At 43.8% G+C, this 21,413-nt stretch overlaps 1 protein-coding gene, 1 long non-coding RNA gene and 1 pseudogene across 7 annotated transcripts in view; 1 reads left to right on the forward strand and 2 right to left on the reverse strand.

Moving 5' to 3' along the window:
- PSG11-AS1 (PSG11, PSG2 and PSG5 antisense RNA 1) overlaps positions 1–11,726 on the forward strand; it is a 23,021-nt gene extending 11,295 nt beyond the window's left edge. For 2 of the 3 annotated variants that reach the window (XR_001754099.3, XR_001754100.3), the window contains one exon: positions 3,896–5,446. This is a non-coding gene — a long non-coding RNA (PSG11, PSG2 and PSG5 antisense RNA 1). Of the gene's footprint in view, positions 1–3,895; positions 5,447–10,450 lie in introns of those variants that run through there. The other variant, XR_007067262.1, reaches the window with a different exon arrangement.
- PSG5 (pregnancy specific beta-1-glycoprotein 5) lies at positions 1,634–20,427 on the reverse strand. 4 transcript variants are annotated; one of them, NM_001130014.2, is made up of 6 exons: positions 20,233–20,427; positions 18,673–19,038; positions 9,761–10,039; positions 9,106–9,360; positions 3,946–4,029; positions 1,634–2,026 (listed from the first exon to the last, which is right to left on the reverse strand). In NM_001130014.2, exons 1-5 carry the CDS (start codon positions 20,294–20,296, stop codon positions 3,986–3,988), a joined length of 1,008 nt encoding a protein of 335 aa, NP_001123486.1. In that variant the 5' UTR covers positions 20,297–20,427; the 3' UTR covers positions 1,634–2,026; positions 3,946–3,985. The 4 variants fall into 4 exon arrangements, with proteins under 4 accessions (NP_001123486.1, XP_016882492.1, NP_002772.3 ...); XM_017027003.2 differs by having other exon boundaries at positions 1,634–2,090; NM_002781.4 differs by having other exon boundaries at positions 1,634–2,094.
- LOC100421300 (pregnancy specific beta-1-glycoprotein 9 pseudogene) lies at positions 12,767–13,048 on the reverse strand (annotated as a pseudogene).
- Positions 20,428–21,413: the final 986 nt, after the last annotated feature.

The following is a 21,413-nucleotide window of genomic DNA, read 5'->3' on the forward strand; positions in this document are numbered from 1 at the left end:
AAAACATCTGTAGATTGCACCACACGAGGGAGAATACCAGTATGACTATCAGGAGGAAAATATCAAGAGTTTGAAATATGCACCTTAGGCAAGATGCAAACCAACTACAATAGGATAGATCAAAGAAGAAGCCAGAAGAGTCTAGTCATTTTAACCAGGCAGCACATTTATTGATTTTTACAACTGAGTCTCTATAACACCGGATGTATTTATCTATGTGCAACAAGAAGGGCCAGAAACTGCACAGGCTCCCAAATGTTCAGCTGGTAGAGAGCAATTCTATTATCTAGCATTGCATGTCTATGTTAAATTAAAACAGGGAGTGAGAATAGGGAAGTATAGAAGTGGAAGCCTAAAAAAAACTCCATATATTTGAGGAAAAAGTTGTGTTACAGATGCAGCTAACGTCAGCCTTTGGGTGGATTAAAGGATCTCTTGGTATGTAAAAATGTGTGGGCCAGGTGCGGTGGCTCAGGCCTGTAATCCCAGTACTTTGAGAGGCTGAGGCGTACGGATCACCTGAGGTCGGGAGTTTGAGACCAGCCTGACCAACATGAAGACACCCTGTCTCTACTGAAAATACAAAATTAGCTGGGCGTGTTGGTGCATGCCTGTAATCCCAGTACTCGGGAGGCTGAAGCAGGAGAATCACTTGAACACAGGAGGCGGAGGTTGCGGTGAGCCAAGATTGTGCCATTGCACTCCAGCATGGGCAACAAGAGCGAAACTCCATCTTATAAAAAAAAAAAAAAGTGTGGTTGACATGATATATCTGACACTGTTAACTTACTCTCAGAGGCTACTTCTTGTGAAATCCTAAGTACAGCATTATTCTGGGAAGCAAAGGAGACAAGCATTAGCAAGGACAAATTCAGAGAGGTAAGAGTCTCATCATGAGTGATAATCTTGTTCTGACATCTTGAGAAAAGCTGTCCGCAGTATAAAGTCATCAACTTGTTGTCATGGTTTGCAGTTTGAGTGTCTCTAAGTTATGGTGTTGAACATTTCGTGAGCTCTTAGTGGCCCACACCTCAGACATGAGGGTTTTCCCATGAAGTTTACATTGAATTGTCCACCTCCAACTTATATGGCTTCAGGAACAGAGCCGCTCTTGTTCTTAATGATTTCATTGGAGAAAATTGAATTGGAAGAACTAAAAGAATTCAGGGTCCAGTCCAGTCTACCAGTGGATTATAAATACTCAGAGATAATGAACAGTGGTTCAATCTGGTAACAGGTGTACTACAGTTTTTCTTTTCAACATAGTTTTTCTGTCTATAGGAGTCTCTATTTTTACCAAAGATAATTCCAGTAGGATGAATTTGTTTGCAAAATAGGTTGAGTCTCACCGAACTTGCCCAGATTTTTTAGCTAAGTGCGGAAAGAGTAGCAATGGACAATAGAGGCTCTTTTTAAACTTCTCTTTGCTAGAAGTTTTTAATAAGAATCTCAGATTAAACTTCCAAAAACCTCTTGAAACTAGGAAGCCAAACCAAGGCCCACTTCAGACTTTGCCTGCATTCCCTATGGGTTTATTCTATATATATTCTCAAATATAACATCGCAGTCAAAGCCTTGGTAATATAACCAATGTTTTCAAATGTGTCCTGTTATAAAGAGAGCAGATCCTTACTGAACTTGTGCAGATAACTTTATTACCATAAACATATGAATACTCATGAATAGTTTCCCAATTCTGGGGCACTCAGATAGAGAGCAAAAGCAAATGTTTCAATTTTTGTTTACAAAAGTATACTTTACCAATTGCTCAAGAAAAAAAGTTCATAAATCTGGAGAATAAAACATTCAAAGAATCAGCACATTTTCAAATAGAAAATTATGAAAACATTATGCTTTTGATTATTTAGTCCAATAACATGGAGTTTTTTTCTTCTTTGTCTAGAATTTCATGAAGGTATCAGCCTGTTCATTAAAATTTTGAAAGTTCTTAGTCCAGTGGTATGATCTTGAAGTTATCAGGAACTTGTATTCAAGAGTCCTTGTCAGAGTCTTTTCCATAAATCTCCTTGAAGAAAAAGCAATTTTGGACTGTAGGTGATTGTAAGTAGTTTGAGGAAGAATCAAAGCAACTGTCTGGGAAAGACAAAGATTTAAACTGACTATGGTTAAAAATCTAATGAGAATTTATTATGGTAAAGACACAGCTCACATAGAAATCCAGTTACTTCTGTGGCATATGACACTATGGTAACATATTTGATTTCCAGAAATTTCATATAATTTTTAGAATACTCATTTAAAAAAATTTTTTTTTTTGAAATGGAGTCTCACTCTGTCACCCAGGCTGGAGTGCAGTGATGCGATCTCAGTTCACTGCAAGCTCTGCCTCCCGGGTTCATGCCATTCTCCTGCCTCAGCCTCCTGAGTAACTGGGACTACAGGTGCCTGCCACCACGCCCGGCAAATTTTGTTTTTGCATTTTTAGTAGAGACGGGGTTTCACCGTGTTAGCCAGGATGGTCTCGATCTCCTGACATCGTGATGTGCCCACCTCGGCCTCCCAAACTGCTGGGATTGCAGGCGTGAGCCATCGCGCCCAGCGTAGAATACTCATATTATTAACATTCCCATAAATATTATTTAGAGAAGGTTTAGCCTCACTTATCCTTTATTTGAAAATGTTTTCTACACAATTTAATATATCAAATAAGGTGGCTTTTCCATTCAGCTTCTGTTTCTCAAGAGGATTACTGAGTTCTTGGTGTAGCCCATTCATAAATAGGGCCAAAAATGTATAGTCTTATGTATGTTGAAAAAGGTCCTTAGGTAATTCCAGTACTTCTAGCTGAAAATCATTCATTTAGTTTTAAGTTCTACCTATTACAACAAGAGTTCTCCATCCTTGTTACATGTTAGTAGTGTCAGGGAAGACTTAAAAATTACCAATGCCTTGGTCCCTCTCCAGACCTTTAAACTGGAACTAATGGGTGGGGCTTGAGCATCCACTTTTAAAAATGCTTTCCAGTGATTCCAATGTGTAGCTCTATTTCCCATCAGATTTCTCTGATTTCTTGTGGCATTCAATTTTTTCTATTTTGGTATCATGATTATTTTCAGGTCTCATTTCCTGTCTTAGGCTTTATGTCTCCTGGGGTAGGGACCTTGCCTTCTTCATTTCTGTATGTTTTTTGAACACATGAACTGGTCATCAGGAAAAGATCTCAACCACACATAGGTTGTGTTCTGAGTCTCAGGTTCACATGTTAATCCTAAAGTCTCCGTTCTCCATGAGGTCAGATGTTGCCTGTGATGAAGGGTGTCGTTAAGTCTGCAGTGCAGATGGTGGAGGGGATTTCACTCTGTTTTTAGACATAGCATTGGAACTAAGAATTTTATGTCTATATGGGTGAAGGGGCAGGGATGTGTAGGAAGACAGTTCTAATTAGGATGAAGGAATTATACTAGGAAGTAGAGGTAAAGGAAGTGAGAAGGCTTACTAAATAGAAGAAATGTGAACTTATCAAATAGGCTAGAGTAGACCCCTGCAGATTCTTGATTAAGTGAATTAACTAGATTTTAGAAAGGTAATGAGGCAGTCATATGCAAGGAAGGTTTCAAAGTCTGGCCACAAGAAGTCAAGCAATACTTTGAGAAGTGGTTGAGCTTTATGGGAGTGTAGAGAATTACACTATTGAGAGATGTTAAAAATAATGAAGAGGGTTTCACCATGTGAAATTGTGTTTCTCATTTGAATCTGAGAAACAAATGAGCAGAGGCTGGAGATAATTATGTCTAAAAGACAGTGGGGTACAGGGAGCATAAAGGCCAGGGAGAAAGGGAACTGCAGGAATTAGTTCTGAGAAGCAGGAGTTTAGTGGAGGAAGGAGGAGATGCAGTCCCAGATACAAGCAAATAAGTCTTTTCCCTCTCCCAAGCATGGCAGTCAGCCCTGCAGGAACCAGGATAAGAGAAAAGGCCATCATACCTGCCAGTCTTCCTGAAATACAGAAATGACTTCACGGCTGCTATATTGGATTAAGGAGAGGAAGACGTCCTATTCCTGAAGGAGCTGTCATGGAAAGAAAAGTAAAGAAGGAATGAAGGTGATGTTATTTTACATGGGGGAGCCTCAGGAAGAGGCATGTAGCATGAGGTACTCTATAATTGTTTCTTCAAGTACTACATTATTCCTCTTGGGAAATTGATGGGAGATGATTATATTCTTGCAGTTTTTTTTTTCCCTCTCACCATGTTTCTAGGATGGTGATCAGTCCTCTGTCAAATCTCTACTGCACTCAGATATTTTGGAAGGCTTTCAGACATAAGAAAGGCTGATTGCTATTTTCTATGTCATTAGAACTTACCACCTTTTCACCTTTTCATGGTTGCATCTTTTTCTCAGTCTCTCTGTTGTGGCAGCCATGAATGAGACTCTGTCAGGTCTCCATGGCAGGGAGCTGATTGACAGAAGGCCCACGTCCGTGCATTTCACATTCATCACCTCCTTTGCACAGAAAGCTTCTTTCCCACAGGCTCCCAGGAAGGGCGTGAAAGCAAGCCTAGTTCTCTGAGGCTCTCTTTAACTCTAAAGGGTGACTGGTTGGAGGACTCCCCCTCAGCCTTGCAAAAACTCTTAGAACTGCATTGGTACCTAAAACTTCTTTCTCTTTCTTTTTCACAGGAATCAGCTCTGCATAGTGGTCTGTGGGTTCTCCCATACTGCCTTCATGTCTGCCCCACATTCCCTCACAGGTGTCCTCCCTGATAAATTATCTTGTATGTCTAATCCCATCTTGGGTGCATCTCAGTTGGTAAAAACTAACATATCAGGCTTGATTCTTTGCACTTAGCTTTTTTTCCTTCTCTCCCACAAGTAGTCAGTAACCATGTCCTAGTGTTTTATGTGTTACCTCTTTTTCCATATATATGGAAAAAGGTAGGTACTGTTGAGGGGCATTTCCTATGTGCCAGGCCCTGTGCTAAATACTTTACCTGTATCTCATTTAATCCACACAATAACCCTGTCAGGTAGAAATTATTTCCACTTTGCTGATGAAAAGACAGAAGCTTATCATGGTGTAAAAACTTTCCTGGTGTCATATGGCTAGTGACAGGTGGATCTGAAATTTGATTCTAGGACTATTTGACCTCAAGGCTAATGATGATGGTAGTAATATAGCAGCTGACATTGGCTCCTCTGTGTGGCATCTTGTTTCATTGATTGCATTAAACATTTAAAAGAATGGTATGAAGAAAGCACTCTCATTGCAATTTTCAGGTGAGGAATCAGAGGTTCAGAGAAGTTGAGTCTTGTGCAAGAAATTTATAACTGTAAACTCTTACATTAAAAAAGAAGAAAGATCTCAGGTCAACAACCTACTTTAATACTTCAGGATATGAAAGAAGAACAAACTAAACCCAAGCACAGTGAATGAGGGAAATAATAAGGATTAGAGTGGACATAAATAAAATGGAGAATGGAAAAAGAATAGAGGAAATTAATGAAACCAAAAGTTGATTCTTCAAAATAAAATCAACAAAATTGACAACCATTAACTAGATTGACTAAGAAAAAAAGAGAAAAGTTTAAAATTACTCAAATCAGAAATGAAAATGGACTCTGAGCATGGTGGGTCATGTTTTAATCCTAGCACTTTGGGAGGTCACAGCAGAAGGATTTCTTGAGACCAGGTGTTTGGACCAGCATGGGTAACCTGGGGAGATGCTGTCTCTACAAAAATATAAAAAACCAATTAACTGGGCATGTTGACATGAACCTGTAGTCATAGCATCTTGGGAGGCTGAAGAAGGAGAATTGCTTGAGCCCAGGAGGTTAAGGCTGCAGTGAGCCATAATCACACCACTGTATTCCATCCTGGACTGGTCTACATAGTGAGAGCCCGTCCCTCTCTTCAAAAAAAAAAAAAAAGAAAAAGAAAGAAAGAAAAATGAAGCGATTACTACCAATTCTAATAAAATAATGATTATGAAAGTACTATAAATAATTTTATGCAAATAAATTGGATAACCTAGATGAAATAGACAAACTCCTAGAAACACACAAAAATATGAATAGAACTATAATCAGTAATAAGATTGAATCAATAAAAGCATTTGATGAAATTCAATATTTTTTCATAATGAAAACATCCTAAGAATAGAAGGAAACCACCTCAACATAAAGGCAATATGTGAAAAACCCAATGCTAGCATCATACTCAACGGAGAAAGACTGAAAGCTTTCCCTGTATGAGCAGGAACAAGACAAGGATGCCTGCTTTTGACACTTTTATTCAACATAGTATTGAAAGGTCTAGTCAGAAAAATTAGGCAAGAATTGAAAAAAAGACATTCAAATTGGAAGGAAGGAGTAAAATTCTTTCTGTTTACAGATAACTTGAACTTATATGTAGAAAATCCTAAAGGTGGAACAAACCAATTAAAATTAATAAATTCAGTAATGTTGCACAATACAAAATCAACATTCAAACATCAGTTGTATTTCAATACACTAAACATGAACAATCTGAAGGGAAATTAAGAAAAATAATTTCAATTTATATTAACATCAAAAAGAATAAAATATTTAGGAATAAGTTTAACCAAAGAGGTGAAATAATTATACCTGAAATCTACAAAATATTGCTGAAAGAAATGAAAGAAGACATCAATAAATTGAAAGACATTTTGTGTTCATGAATTGGAAGACTCAATATTGTTAGGAGGACAGTGCTGCCCAAAGTGAGCTGCAGATTCAATAAAATTCCTGTCAGAATCTCAGTGACATTTTTGCAGAAAAAGACAAATCTGTCCTAAAATTTATATTGCATCTCATGACTCTAAATAGACACATAGCTTTGAAGAGGAAGAATGAAGCTGGAGGACTCACACTTCCTGATTTCAGCATTTACTACAAAGCCCTAGTAATCAATACAGTGTGGTACTGGCATAAAGGAGGACATAGAAATTAATGAAATATCATAGCCCAGAAAGAAATGCTTGCATATATGGCCAAATGATTTTCATGGAGTGTTCCAAGATCATTCAATGGGGAACGGACAGTGTTCTCACCAAATGATATTGGGAAAGCTGGATATCCAAGGGCAAGAGAGTGGAACCTTTACCTAACACCATGCATAAAAATTAACCCACAATAGATCAAAGATCTAAATGTAAGAGTAAAAACTACAGAACTCTTAGAAGAAAAGCTTCATGATACTGGATTTCACAATGATTTCTTGGTTGTAACAACAAAAGCATAGGCAACAAATAAAATGGATTAATTGGACTTCACAAAAATCAAAACCTTTTATATATCAAAGAACATTATCAAGAAAGTAAAAAGGCAACCTATGAAATGATAAAAATATTTGCAAATTATATGTGTGATAAGAAATTAATTTCCAGAATACATGAAAAGCTACAAGTCAACAACAGCAAACATCCAAAAACCCAATTAAAAAATGAACAAAGGATTAAAATGGAGTTTTCTCCAAGGAAGATATACAAATATCCAATAAGCCCATGCAAAGTTCCTCAGCATCACGAATACTTAGAGATATGCAAATCAAAACCACAATGTTACACCACCTCACACACTTTAGGATGGCTTTGATAAACAACAAAAATGACAGCAACACAAAACAACAGGTGTTTTCAAGTAGATGGAAAAATTGGAGCTCTAGTGCATTGCTGATGGGAATGGGAAATGTTATAGCCACTGTAAAAAGTGGTGTGGCTGTTTCTCAAAAAATTAAACAATAACTTACCATTTGATCCAGCAATTCCACTTCTGGACAAACTCCCCATAGAAATGAAAAAAAATTGAACAAATATTTGTACACTGATGTTCAGAGAAGCATTACTCACACTAGCGAAAAAATGGAAACAACTGAAAAGTCCATTGAAAGATAAGTGGGTAGGCAAATGAGGTGTATCTACAATTAAAATGTTATTCAACCTTAACAAGGAATAAAATTCCAATACATCGTGCAAAATGGATGAACCTTAAAGATATTATGCTAACTGAAATAAACCAGACACAAAAGGATAATTATCATATAATTCCATTTATAAAAGATAGTTAGAATAGCCAGTTACATAGAGACAGAATGTAGAATGGTGTGTGCTAAGGGTTATGGGGAGAAGGAGTGAGTTACTGTTTATTGGGTACAGAGGTTTAATATGGTAAGAGGAAAAAGTTCTGGAAATGGATAGTGTGATGGTTACACAACACTAAATTGCACACATAGAAATAGTTAATGGTAAGTCTTATATTAGATATATATAAAGTGTCTGGTAGTCTTACCCTCTCTATAATTACACACTTTTTGGCACTGCCCCTTTCCTGCCATGCAGAGCCCCAGGGGTGAATCTCTCTATTTCTCCAGCTCTGCATCAGTCACTATCCTCCGTGCTGTGTCCCACATGCTGTGCCCACAACCTCATACAACCGGTGACTTCAGAGCCAGGACGCAACGCAGGAGTCTTCCCTGAGGCTCCCTCTCTTCTTATTTCCCTGCAGCCTGGCCCGGGGGAGGCTTGGCTTCAACTGGCAGCTCGATTTAGCCAAATTCAGGACAGGCCACCAGGACTCTTTCTCCACACATGCTGGTCCCACCCCAGGTTGAGTGAGGCAGGCCCAGTCACCAGAGAAGCATGGAGCAGAGCAGGAAGCAGAGTCTGAGCTGCTCCTCCCTCACCCAAGGGGCTTCCTCGTCTCATTTGGGGGAAAAGTGTGAGCTTGTTTCAGAGCCTCAGATGTTCCTTGTAGCTCATGGAATAGGTACAAGGAAACAAAGACATGGCAGAAGGGGATGTGTTGGTGACATCGAGAAGCAACTTGATCTTGAGGACTCTCCTTCTCATCCCTCTGTGAAGCCTCCTCTACCACATAGGGCTCAGGGCTGATAAAGCCCCCTCCCTAACTTTCTTAGGCCAGACACAAGGTCAGCCATGAGAAAACAGAAAAACAAGGAGAAGAGAGTTTGTAGAGACAAATTGGAAGGGTTCAGGAGGAGAATTTGGGATTTGCTTGTGCCCATGGGACACAGGCTGGGAATAAAAATGTTTTCCTAACTCTTCTCTGAAAGCCAGGTAGACTCCACCTAAAACCCTATTGCCAAGGATGCTGGGATCCACTTACCAGAGACTTCGACTGTCATGGATTTGGAGCTTTCCTTGCCAGTAGCTGAGTTACGAACAGAGCAAGTATAGAGCCCTCTATGCTTTGTAGTAATTTGGGGGATAGAGAGCTTTTGTCCTGATTGCTGAAACTTCCCATTAATTGTCCAAAAATACTCTGCCGGTGGGTTAGATTCCGCGAAGCAGGACAAGTAGAGGTTTTCTCCTGAACGGTAATAGGTGAATGAAGGGTAAATGCTGGGGAGGTCTGGACCATCTGGAGCAAAGAGAATGAAGCCACAGGTGATGTCATCCAAGGGAAGGGGATGCTCCTGGTCTCTTAAAGGGACACAGTGACCCTCTGAGCCAAGACACACCCTCAAGTCCCAGCCGAACCCCCACTATATTCACTGAGCCAAAGCCTGAGGTATTCACCTGTTTCTCCCATCACAAGCTATTGACACAAAGTCTCCCATGACAAGAGCGCCCCCTCCCCTTATATTCCTGGTTAAGGCTGTGCCTACCTAGGTTTTCCAAGGGCAGGGAGTCATGGCCAGCTCAGATGTCCAGAAATAAAGGTGTCTATACTTGGACCGGAGAAAGACTGAGAGGACTGGCTTGTGGTCATTTAGATTTAAGCTGGTGTCCTGGCCCACAGAGGAACAAAAGATACTCACAGAGGACATTCAGGGTGACTGGGTCACTGCGCATGCCACCATCTCGGTCCCGTATTTCACATTCATAGGGTCCTGTTTCATTTCTCGTGACACTGGGTAGAATGAGGATCCTGTTTTCAATGGGTCGCTTTACCCTGGGACTGACCGGGAGGCTCTGACCATTTAGCCACCAAATGTAGGTGTAGTTCTCACTCTTAGGTTCACAGGTGAAGGCTAAGACATCCTTATTCTCCCTGGGTTTTGAGTTGTTGATGGTGATGTAGGGCTTGGGCAGCTTCACTGTGTGGATAACAGAGAGAAGATTGTCCTGTGTGGCACCTTTGATTCCTCCACAGGCATCCTTCAATCAGAGTTGGCATCTCCCACCTGTCAACCCACCAGAGTCCTTGAAAGCCAGTAGCTGATGCATGTGTCACAAGATAGATGCATGATGATCTAAGGGCTCAAAGACTGTGAGGCCACCTGCTCTGTTTTAGGGAAGCACAGACTTTCTCAAGTGTCAATTGAGCAGCAGTGTTGGGTCATGAACAGACACATCAGTGGGAGTCACAGCCCCTGGTACCCCTCCCAGTCCCTCCATAATCAGTTGACTGGCTGGCTCACCCTGGGTTCCTTACCTGGAATGTGCAACTGCTGGGCCCCTTCCAAATTCCATCCTACTTTGTCCCCCTATATGTGATTTCTCTGCAGCTCCCATTTCCAAGGACATTCTAGAGATGAGTAATAATGGGACTTCCCATTGTCCTGAAACCCTGAAGATACTGAGCAGTCTGGCCTGGGACTGGATGTTTCAGCAGAAATAACACAGGAGAGACCAGAGTCAAGCCTGGAGGTCAGTTCAGTCATCAGCCAGTGGAGGCAGAAAGTGGGGCAGTGTTTTGCAGGTGTTTCATGATGACTTACTTGAACCAGTGACCTCTAAAGATAGAGCAGAGTGCAAGGAATGATCTAGAAGGAGTCAAGGGGACAGGCAAGAGCTGGTGGCTTTGGAGCAGAACCATGTTCCCTGTCCTGGGTTCTTTAAGTTTCCTCTCCTTCTGCAGAGGGCAGGTGAGGACCATGTGGATCTTTCCAGAAATACATGTGGATGTTTGCAAATGCAGAACTGATTGGTAGAAAGGGTGGGAATGAACTGCTGGAAATCTGGTCCTCATGGACCATGTGTGTTTGATGGATATGAGACAAATTTGAAGAGAAGTTTTGGGAATATTTTCTTTCACTGGACATTCTACTCTCTGATTCCATGGATTCGACTACTCTAGGGACCTCATGTAAGTGGATTCCAGAGTGAATATGAGAAGAGACTGCTGTTTGCCAGGAGCTGGGAGTGGGGAGAATCAGAAGTTGTTCATGGGTGTGCAGTTTCAGTTATGCAAGGTGGGGAGGTTATAGAGATTGGCTGTCGAGCTTGATACCTATAGTTCACACAGATTGAGTATTTCTTATGCATAAGACTTAGGACAAAAAGTGTTTTGGATTTCTGACATTTTTTGATTCTGAAATATTTGTCATATACTTACTGGTTTAGCATCCCAAATCTGAAAGATTCAAAATCTAAAATGCTCCAGTGAGCATTTCTTTTCAGCATCAGATTAGTGGGCAAAAGTGGGAGGTGATAAGCCAAATATATTCCTGCCCTTTTTTTTTTTTATCTCACCACGTTTCTACCATGGTGATTAGTTTTTGGTCAATTCCACACTGGCCATTCTGCACTCATATATTTTTGAAGGCTTTTGGATGTGAGAAAGGCTGATTGCTGTCTTCTATGTCATGAGAACTTTAAACATTTTCATGGTTGCATCTTTTTCTCAGTGTTTGTGTTGTGGCAGTCATTAATAAGAGCCTGTCAGGTCAGATTTAAGACAGAGTTTTCTAATTCTGCAAAAAATGTTACTGGGATTCTGGTAGGAGTTGCACTGTATCTGCAACTTGCTTTGGGTAGTATTGTCTTTCTAACAGTATTGATTCTTCCAATCCTTGAAAATGAAATGTCTTTCCATATATTGATATCATCTTTAATTTCTTTCAGCAATGTTTTGTAGTTTTCAGGGTATAATCATTTGACCTTTTTGGTTAAACTTATTCCAAAATATTTTATTCCTTCTGATGTTAACGTGAATTGAAATTCTTTTCTCAATTTCCTTTCAGATTGTTCATTGTTAGTGTATAGCCTAAAGAATGATCTAGAAAGAGTGAAGGGGAAAGGCAAAAGCTGGTGGTTTTGGAGCAGAAACATACTCCCTGTGCTGGGTTTTTGATTTTCCCTCTCCCTTTGCAGAGGGCAGGTGGCTCTTCCCTGATAGCTAGATAGACTTCACTGGAAAACATATTGCCAATGCTCCAGGGATCCACTTACCAGGGACTATGATCCTCTTGATTATGAGATTTGTTCCATCAGTGGCTGAGTTATGGATGAAACAGACATAGATCCCTCTATGTTTTGGTGATTTGGGGAATAAAGCACACTTGTGCTGATTGCTGGAACTTCCCATCAATCAGCCAAGAATGCTCTGCCAGTGGGTGAGAGTCTGTGAGGCAGGAGAGATTGGGGACTTCCCCTGTATGGTAATAGGTGTATGAGGAAGAAATGGTGGGGGCATCCAGGCCATCTGGAGCAAAGAGAATAAAGTCACAGGTGACATTGTCAGAGGGAAGGGAAAATCCTGGTCTGTGGAAGGGCCACAGTGACCCTGTGAGCCAAGTCGCAACACTGAAGTCCCAGCCAAATCCCCGCTGTGTTCACTGATCTGGAGCCTGAGACATTCACCTGTTTCTCCCATCACAAGCTGTGGAACCTGAGTCTCCCATGACAGGAGCAGCCTCTTTTCTCCTATTGTGGATCAAGCCTAGGCCTACTCTGTTTTGCCTGGGGCAGAAAGTCATGGCCAGCTTTGATGTCCAGGGGTAAAGGTCTCTGTACTTGGACCTGAGAGGGACTGAGAGGCCTGGCCTCTGGCCATGTGTATTTGGGATGGCAGCCTGGCTCACAGAGGAACAGAGGATACTCACGGAGGAGATTCAGGGTGACTGGGTCACTGTGGCTGGCACTCACTGGGTTCCGTATTTCACATTCATAGGGTCCTGCAATATACTTTGTGACACCAAATATAAAGAGGGTCCTGTTGGTTTTGGACAGCTGCAACCTGTGAGTCATAGGGAGGCTCTGACCATTCATCCACCACAGGTAGCTTGTGTCTGAAGCCGCAGGATCACAGGTTAAGATCACAGCCTCCATGGCCTCCCTGGGGTTTAAGTTGCTACTGGAGATGGAGGGCTTGGGAGTTTCCACTTTGCAGAAAACAGAGAGAAGATTGCCCTGTGTGGCACCTTTGATTCCTCCAAAGGCACTTTTCAATCAGAGTTGGCATTTCCCACCTGTCAGCCCACCCAAGTCCTTAAAAGCCCATGGCAGGTGTGTGTGTTACAAGACAGATGCATGGCAATCTGAGAGCTCAGAGATTGTGAGGCTGCCTGCTTTATGTGGGAGAAGTACAGGCTTTCTCAAGTGTGAATTGAGCAGCAGCATTGGGTCATGGAAAGACACAGGACCAGCAGTCACAGACCCGATGCCTCTCTGAGTTCCTCCGACTAAAACTGCCTGCCTGACCCACCTTGTGGTCCTCACTTGGAGTATGCAGTGCTGGAATCTTCTTAGTTTCAGTCTTACTTTGTCCCCCGAGGTATGTTTTCTCTGCAGCTTCCCTTGCCAAGGACATCCTAGAGATGGATGATGGAACTTCCCATTGTCCTTAAACCCTTTGGGTACTGGAAAGCCTGGCCTGGGACTGGGTACTTCAGCATAAATAACACAGGGGAGACCAGAGTCAAGCCTGGAGGTCAGTTCAGTCATCAGGCAGTGGAGCCACAAGGTGGCGCAGTTTTCCCAGGTGTCTCATAGTGACTGACTTGAGCCAGTGACTTCTAAAGATAGAGCAGAGTCCAAGGAATGACCTACAAAGAGTGAAGGGGACAGGCAAGAGCTGATAGCTTTGGACCAAGACCATTGTTCCCTGTTCTGGGTCCATGATGCTTCCTTCCCCTTGTAGAGGGCAGGTGAGGACCATGTGGATCTTCTAGAAATACATGTGGATGTTTGCAAATGCAGCACTGACTGTTGGAAAGGGTAATCATGAACTGATGATGGAAGTCTGGCCCTCATGGACCATATGTGTTTGGTGGATATTAGACCAATATTTGGGAAGAAGTCTTGCAGATACTTTCTCTCATTAGACATTCTACTCTCTGATTCTGAGTTTGACTACTCTATGTACCTCATATCAGTGGATTCCAGAGTGAATCAGAGAGTAGAATAGTAGTTTGCAGGAGCTGGGATCAGGGGAATAGGGTGTTGTTCCATGGGTGTGCGGTTTCAGTTATGCAGGATGAGGAGGTTCTAGAGATCTCCTGTGCAGCCTCGTGCCTATACTTCATGCAGATACAGTGCTCCTTATGCAGAAAGCTTAAAACAAAGTGTTTTGGATTTCTAATTTTTTTAATTTTGGAATATTTGCAGTACATGTACTGGTTTAGCATCCCAAATCTGAAAAATTTAAAATCCACAATGCGCCAGTGAGCACTTCTTTTTAACATCACATCAGTGGTCAGAAGGGTTGAGTTTTGGAGCATTTCAGATTGTGGATTTCTGGATTTCCGATGCTCAATTCGTAATACTGTAATTTTCCCATAAAAAGTTGTCAGGAGTTTAGACCTCATGTTATGTTCTGACTCTAGTAACAAAAAAAATTTGGAGGAAACATTAAAATGTTTTCATAAGTGGAAATTTTTACTGATGATCCAAACATCTAAGATCAATTGCTGGTAGTAGTATTTCTCTTGAGACCAAAATAAGGTTTAGGTGTGCCGTGAATTCCAGCAGGATCACATTATGCTCAAAGAAAGACGCCAAAGGTGATTTGAAATTAGCAGCTCCTTAAGTAGAGAGTCCCGTTAAAAGGACAGAACTGGTCAGTGCGTCAATTACATAAAGGGAGGAAGGATGCCAAATTAAAAGAAGTGATGTGTGTTATGTTAGTAAATATAGAAAGAACTCCCTGCTTCTAATTTCTGTGCAGAGTTAGGAAAAATGGGGAGGACCCCAAAACAGGTATGTGAAATGCTTTCTTCATTTTCTCTTAAGCTCACGAAACACCACTAAAGTTTAAGTTTGTGTGAATTAGGAAGAATCTAAGTGAGATGCCAATGGCTCGTGTGTCTCCCCACACGTAGAACTCCAACTTATGAAAATGGCATCATCATGAGGAAACAGTTTTATGTGGCACAGGCAGTAAAACCATTAGATAGCACACACCTGGCCACCTCCAACTGGTCCCCAAAACCACCAATATTCACATTACGTGTATCTGACAGCCTTTGCAGTTGTCCACAACTACAAAATTTAAAAATTGCTATTGCCAAAACAAAATATTAAATGTGAAGTTGAATGTGTTGTTCCACTTTTTTTCCCCCACTCTTATTGAACTTTCCTTTTTCAGTTTTGGAAGTTTCTATTGACACATCCTCAAGCCAGAGATTCTTTCCCCAGCTGTGTGCAGTCTACCAGTAAGCATCAAAAGCATTCTTCATTTCTCTAACAGCATTTTTTTTTCTGAGACAGAGTCTCTCTCTTTCACCCAGGCTGGAGTGCAGTGGCATGATCTCAGCTCACTGCAAGCTCCACCTCCTGGGCTCACGGCATTCTCCTGGCTCAGCCTACCAAGTAGCTGGGACTACAGGCATCCGCCACCACGCCCAGCTAATTTTTTGTATTTTTAGTAGAGACGGAGTTTCAACATGTTAGCCAGGATGGTCTCCATCTTCTGACCTTGTGCCCGCCTCGGCCTCCCAAAGTCCTGGGATTATAGGCATGAGCCACTGTGCCCAGCCATCTCTGAGGGATTTTAATGAGTTGTTGACTTTTGAGTTTGTTCAACTTTTTACTTACTGTTAGAACCGAGTGACAAATTTCAAGCTTGTTATATGCCTGACAGGAAGCCAGAAGTCTCTAAGAAGTGACAGGAGAATGTGAGCTCCATAGTAGTTTGAGGATGGAGTCACGAGTGAAACAGTTGAAATGAGTCCATGGGCATTGGGGACTGCAGGCCTGTCCAGCCTCTGACACCCTGGTGAGTCAGTCCATACATTACAACAGTGACAGCAAAGTAGCATGTCTGACTCCATCTGGCATCTAGTCTCTGGCTGGCTATCCTCACTCATTCCTGGGCATAGGCCAGGCTAACCTTGGGAGGAATTTAATTTATGGTTTGACTTTGAAGCAAGAATCACAAAACTTCCTCCATGAAACTAACAACCTTACTTTGCCCAGGGATGGCCTTTGTCAAACTAGTGAAAGACCATGAGATTAAGATTATAGGAGGGAACTGAATTCTGCTAAAATGTTGGCACAGTTTCTATAATTCCTGACTGCTGCAATGTTGTTTGGCCAGAGTTTACAAAATTTGTAACTAATTGCTCCTATAGATAACATCACTATTGTAGAACATGAGATTGGTCTTTTGAGATGTTTCTCATTCTTTTGCATTCTGGCAACCGGCTGACCTCATTCATACCTATGACTAATGGCTCAGCCAGTCATGTGGTCCCTACCTGGAGGCAGATTCGAGCACAAACAGATCATTTCCCTCTGCCCACATGATTCCATCACCAAATAATCAGCAGTACTCATTTTTTAGTCCTGTGCCCCTGAAACTATCCTTGAAAATCTCTAACCCCTGATCCACTGGGGAGGCTGATTTGAGTAATAATAAACCTCTGTCCTCCTGTTTGGCAGACTTGGAGTCGTTAAAATCTTTCTTGACTAGAAACCAACATTTCAATAATTTTTTTTTTTTTTTTTTGTGCAGGAGGCCAGAAGATCTTGCCTGGCAATTATGAATGGATGGAGGAACTGCCTATCCCTGTCCCATTGTCTTGTCCACAGGTCAGCCTCACAAAGGGAAAGAGCCCTGGATGGGAATACAGTGGAAGCTCATTCTCTTAGTGACCTGGGAACATTGGCTCGAGATGAAGCCTGGCAGGAGTGGCAACTCCAGGTGATTTCTGCACCTTTCCTATTTCCTGGGAGGTGGGCCAGGCCACAGTGTTAGCGGGAAGGGAACAGAACAGCCAGCCTAGTTAGAGGGAGTGTCTGGGGAAGGCCTAGGGGTGGGGGAAGAAGCTGTGCAGGACAGGGCTTGCCAGTCAGAATGAAGTGGGAGGAAGATGAGGGACACAGAGAAGCAGAGGCAGAGACACCATGGCAGTGAGCAGTGAGGGAGACACTGACTTCAGAGACCCCAGGGACCAGCTGCCCCCAGTTCCACAGTCCAGGACAAAGGAGCCCTGAGAATCCTCTGGTGGCCAAAGAGCTTCAGAGTTGCATGAGGTGGGGTGGCTTTAGGGGCAAGAGGTAGTGGGGGGATGAAACATGGATGTCAGCCTCTGAAGGACAAGGGACAGGTGTGGCTAGAACCTCCTAGGATTCTGCATCCAACATCCAGTCTCTAAAGAGGTTTTGGATCATTCATTTCTTCATTCCATTCCTTCATTTGTTATGTGAGAGCTCCTGAGTGTGTGTCTCTCGCTGGGCCTGTGCTGGAGCAGGGTCTGAGTGGGGAAAGAAAACAAAGTCCTCTCCTTGATCCTTTCATGACAGTGACATGGGCACTTTGGGAAACACAGGATTTCAGGTTCAGTGATGGGGGTTAAGATCTGAGGGGGAGGCCTGGACATATTTTTTGCACTGACTCTGACGGTTGAGGCAGTTGATTTAGTTCTGGAGTGCAGACTAATCAGCTGACCATTTGCTCTCACTCCTCTGAGGTTTAGAAGCCTAAGAAGAGAGGATTTGAGCCAATAAATGACTATGGGGTCCTTGGAACCCAGTAAGCCCTCACTTCTGGTGGAGAAGATGGGCCTGTGGCTGCAGACAGACCTCATGTGACCCTGATCTCCCCCTTTGGGTTTGTGTGACTCTGGTTCAGTGACTGTGCCTTCCTGTGCCTCAGTTTTCTCTCAATCAAATAAGCTAAGTGGCAAATGGACTGTGGATTTTCATGCTACTGTGAATAAATGTTAAATGATTCAGTCACCTGACCTAATGCTTGGCACAGTGGAGGTTTCACACAAACAGCATTTATTATTAATTTGCTTCCATGAGAAAGCACCTTTACGTCAGATCCCTGTGGACAAGCTGCTACCAGGTACATCTTCTCCCTTCTGTTTATGCTTCTGGGGACATTAGACTTTCTATGGACTGTCCTAAGCCTCCTAAAGCAGTTGGCTGATGTCCTACAAAGCTTGTCTTTCTGTCCTCTCCACTCTGAGTGTCAGGTGAAGAAAGCTCTGTCTTTGCCCAGATGAGGCTCTGAGGGCTGAGCCCTGGCTGGTGAGCAGCTCCAGGAGACACAGTCCTCAGACAGCTGGTAAATTCTTGGTCCCAGTAAGGCCTGCCCAATAAGCCACAACCCAGCACTGGCACAGGCTCCTCAGCTTAACTGGAGCAAGGATTTAGGGACAGAGGTCTGGGGTTGAGGCTTCTAGGGCTGAGCTTCTCTGAGGGTCTCAGGGGGCCCCTCAGGCCAAAGCCCTACTCAGTTCTCCAGGGTCTTTCTCAGGGTCAAATTTATGAAGAGGGCATGAGGTGCTTGGCTGAGACTGATCTCCTCCTGCTGAGTCCCCCCATCAGACTGTCCTTCCTCTGCAGCGAGTGTCTGCAGGGTCTGGATGCGGGAAAGGAATTCTGATCTGTTGAAATTTGTCTCCTCTGTGTGTGTCCTGCACTAAATGCCCAAACCGCAGCATGGGACATAATGCAGAGAGGGACACAGGCACAGTGCAGGCCTGACAATCCTGTGTGTGTGAAGTAGAAATGACCCCTGTCCCCCAACACCCAGGGATCATGTGGAATCACTCACGGTATAAGTTGAAGGTGAAATATCCAGTTACTCCTCTAGTCCTATCACCTCGCTTTATGATGTGTAAGGTGTAGGATCCTGCGTCTTCCCGGGTGACATTCTGGATCAGCAGGGATGCATTGGAATATACTGTTTCTCGTCCAGTGTATGCAGGCCCATATATATTTATTTGACCGTCTACTACATATGATGTAATGTAATGGTAGAGGTCCATCAGTTGTCCTTTGTACCAGATGTAGCCAGCAAGATTCTGAGGCAAATTGTGGACAAGTAGAAGAACATCCTTCCCCTCGGAAACTTTGGGTGGCAGGGCTTCAATCGTGACTTGAGCAGTGATAGGCAGGTTCCAGAAGTTTAAAAGTGATGCTAGGAGGTGGAGAAAGCACCAGTCAATATTGAGACCTGTGTATTGGGGTGAAAAGATGGAGCCCTGGGTCCTGAGAAGGTCTCTTCAATCCTCAGCCTTGAAGACACACACACACACAAACACACACACACACAAAAGGTGCATGTTAGTTTGTGTGTGTGTATGTGTGTGTGTCCTACTGTCCTACTAGGTCAAGGTCAGCAGCGTGACCCCTATTCCTTCAACACTTCTGACCTTGGCATTTTTGTATGGAATCCTCTTCCCCAGGGGTCCACACGGCACCCCCCCCCCCCCACACTGCCCTCAGGTCCTGCTCACATCAGGGCATCCTTAGACTTCTTTCCTGACACGTCCTTCAGAGACCCTGGGTCTTCCCTTTCTGACCTTTCCCTGCTCTGCTCCCTCCAGGGTTCTTGTCAACACCTGACCTCACATTCTAGATCTCTTTGCATGTCTGTCTTCCTCCCCATGACAGCGTGAGCTCTGTGAGGACAGGGACTTTTGTGATCTTGGTTGCACCCCAGTGCCTGGAACAGGCTGCAGACTCCTGCAGATGTGAGAGTTCTCAGGGCCCTCCACACCCTTGGTGTTTTATTTTCCCCCAATTGTTGAGGATTTTGCTGAGGACAGTGTTTCATGTCCTGCTTATACTTTTATTAGAAGTGTCATCTGATATAGTTATTATTATCATTTTTCAAAATGTCGTGGCCCTCTTACCAATTCCGGTTCAATATGACTTTCCAGTTTTGACCTCTGTCCCTCTCTGGTGTATTTTACCCTATCCAGGCTCCAACAGAGACTTCTTTCCTTTTTTTTCTTTTTTCTTTTTTTTCTTTTTATTTTTTTGAGACAGAGTCTCGTACTGTCACCCAGGCTGGCGTGCAGTGGTGCTATCTCGGCTCGCTGCAACTTCTGCCTCCCGGGTTCATGTGATTTTCCTGCCTCAGCCTCCAGAGTAGCTAGGATTCCAAGAGCACACCACCATACCTGGTTAATTTTTTGTATTTTTAGTAGAGACAGGGCTTCACTGTGTTGGCAGGACTGACCTTGAACTCCTGATCTCATAATCCACCCACCTCATCCTCCCAAAGTGCTGGCTTCTTTTATTTTTTAGAACCCCATCCTCTCCAGGAGACCCAATCCAGTCACTCTTCTTCCTCCTCCTGTCCTCTCCCAGGAAGTTCTCTCCTCACCTGTGAGCAGGAGCCCCTTCCAGGTGATGTGCTGTGTGCAGGGAGGGGCTGAGAGGGGCCCCATGGTCTCTGCGCCTGCGTGTTCTCCTCTGTGGAGCTGAGCCTAGGATCCAGAAACTTCCTGAGCACGGCTGTAGGCTGTGCTGTCCTTCCTCCTTCTGTGCTGAGCCTCTCTCCAGGGCAGGAGCACTTCTCAGGCTCATGGGTGGGGTCAGGCCCAGGACACCTCTCTGTCCCCTCCTCTCTCAGTCCTGCCTCCTTGTCCCTCCTTCTGTTTTTCCTTTTGTCTGTGTTTCAGGTCCCTGGGAATTGTGGAGGCCTCTGCATTTTTCAGCAGTGATTCTTTCACCAAACCTCAACCACACTTTGTGCAGACACACACACACAGAAGAGACACACACAGACCCACACAGTCACACACATACCCCGCAGGTTGGGCAAGCAGAGTCCTGGGCCTCAGCCTCCTGCTGTCCCCATGGCTCTGGGTCGGGATGCACATTCACGCCCTTTGCCCTCTTTCATCCCCATCTGGCTCTCCCCTTCAGTGCAGGAGGCTGAAGCTGCAACGGGTCCCTGTCACAGTGACACCCCATTGTGCTGTGGGTGAGCTGTGTGTTGCCTGGTGAGAGGGACCCTTCCTTTCTCTAATCGTGTCTAGCTTGGCTGCAGCTTCCAAGGATGGACCTTCAGGACCTGGGTGTCCCAGAGGAAACTGTCCTTCCTGGAGGTGTGCAGGGTGAATCTCTCATGCCTCTTGGGAGGAGAGGCCTGTGCTGGTTGCTCAGTGGGGGCTGTGAGTCCCAGAGTCAAGAGGACAGTTCTTCATCACTCTATGGCTCCCTGGGGTCTGGCAGCTGAGCTGGAGCTCAGGGTTTCTCATGTTCTCCCTGACCATCTTTGATGTCCTCTCTTCTCTGCCCAGCTGACTGTCCTGGGGTCACCACACCTTCCCCGTTGTGGTGCAGGAGGAAGTGGGGAGTTACCCAGGAACCCCGCGGGACATGGCTCGTTGAGACGCAGGAGGGGGAGCCTGGGACAGAGCAGGGGTTCAGAGCTGGAGAGATTCATCCCGACTTACTCCGTGGCCATGATGGGCTCAGCCCTCCATGTGCTGACATACCCAGGGGTCTGTCCTGAGGGTTTTGACCTGGCCAAGCTGCTCTCTGTAGAGGAGGAACAGG

This window comes from Homo sapiens, chromosome 19 (assembly GCF_000001405.40).
Source record: "Homo sapiens chromosome 19, GRCh38.p14 Primary Assembly".
Taxonomy (NCBI): domain Eukaryota; kingdom Metazoa; phylum Chordata; class Mammalia; order Primates; family Hominidae; genus Homo; species Homo sapiens.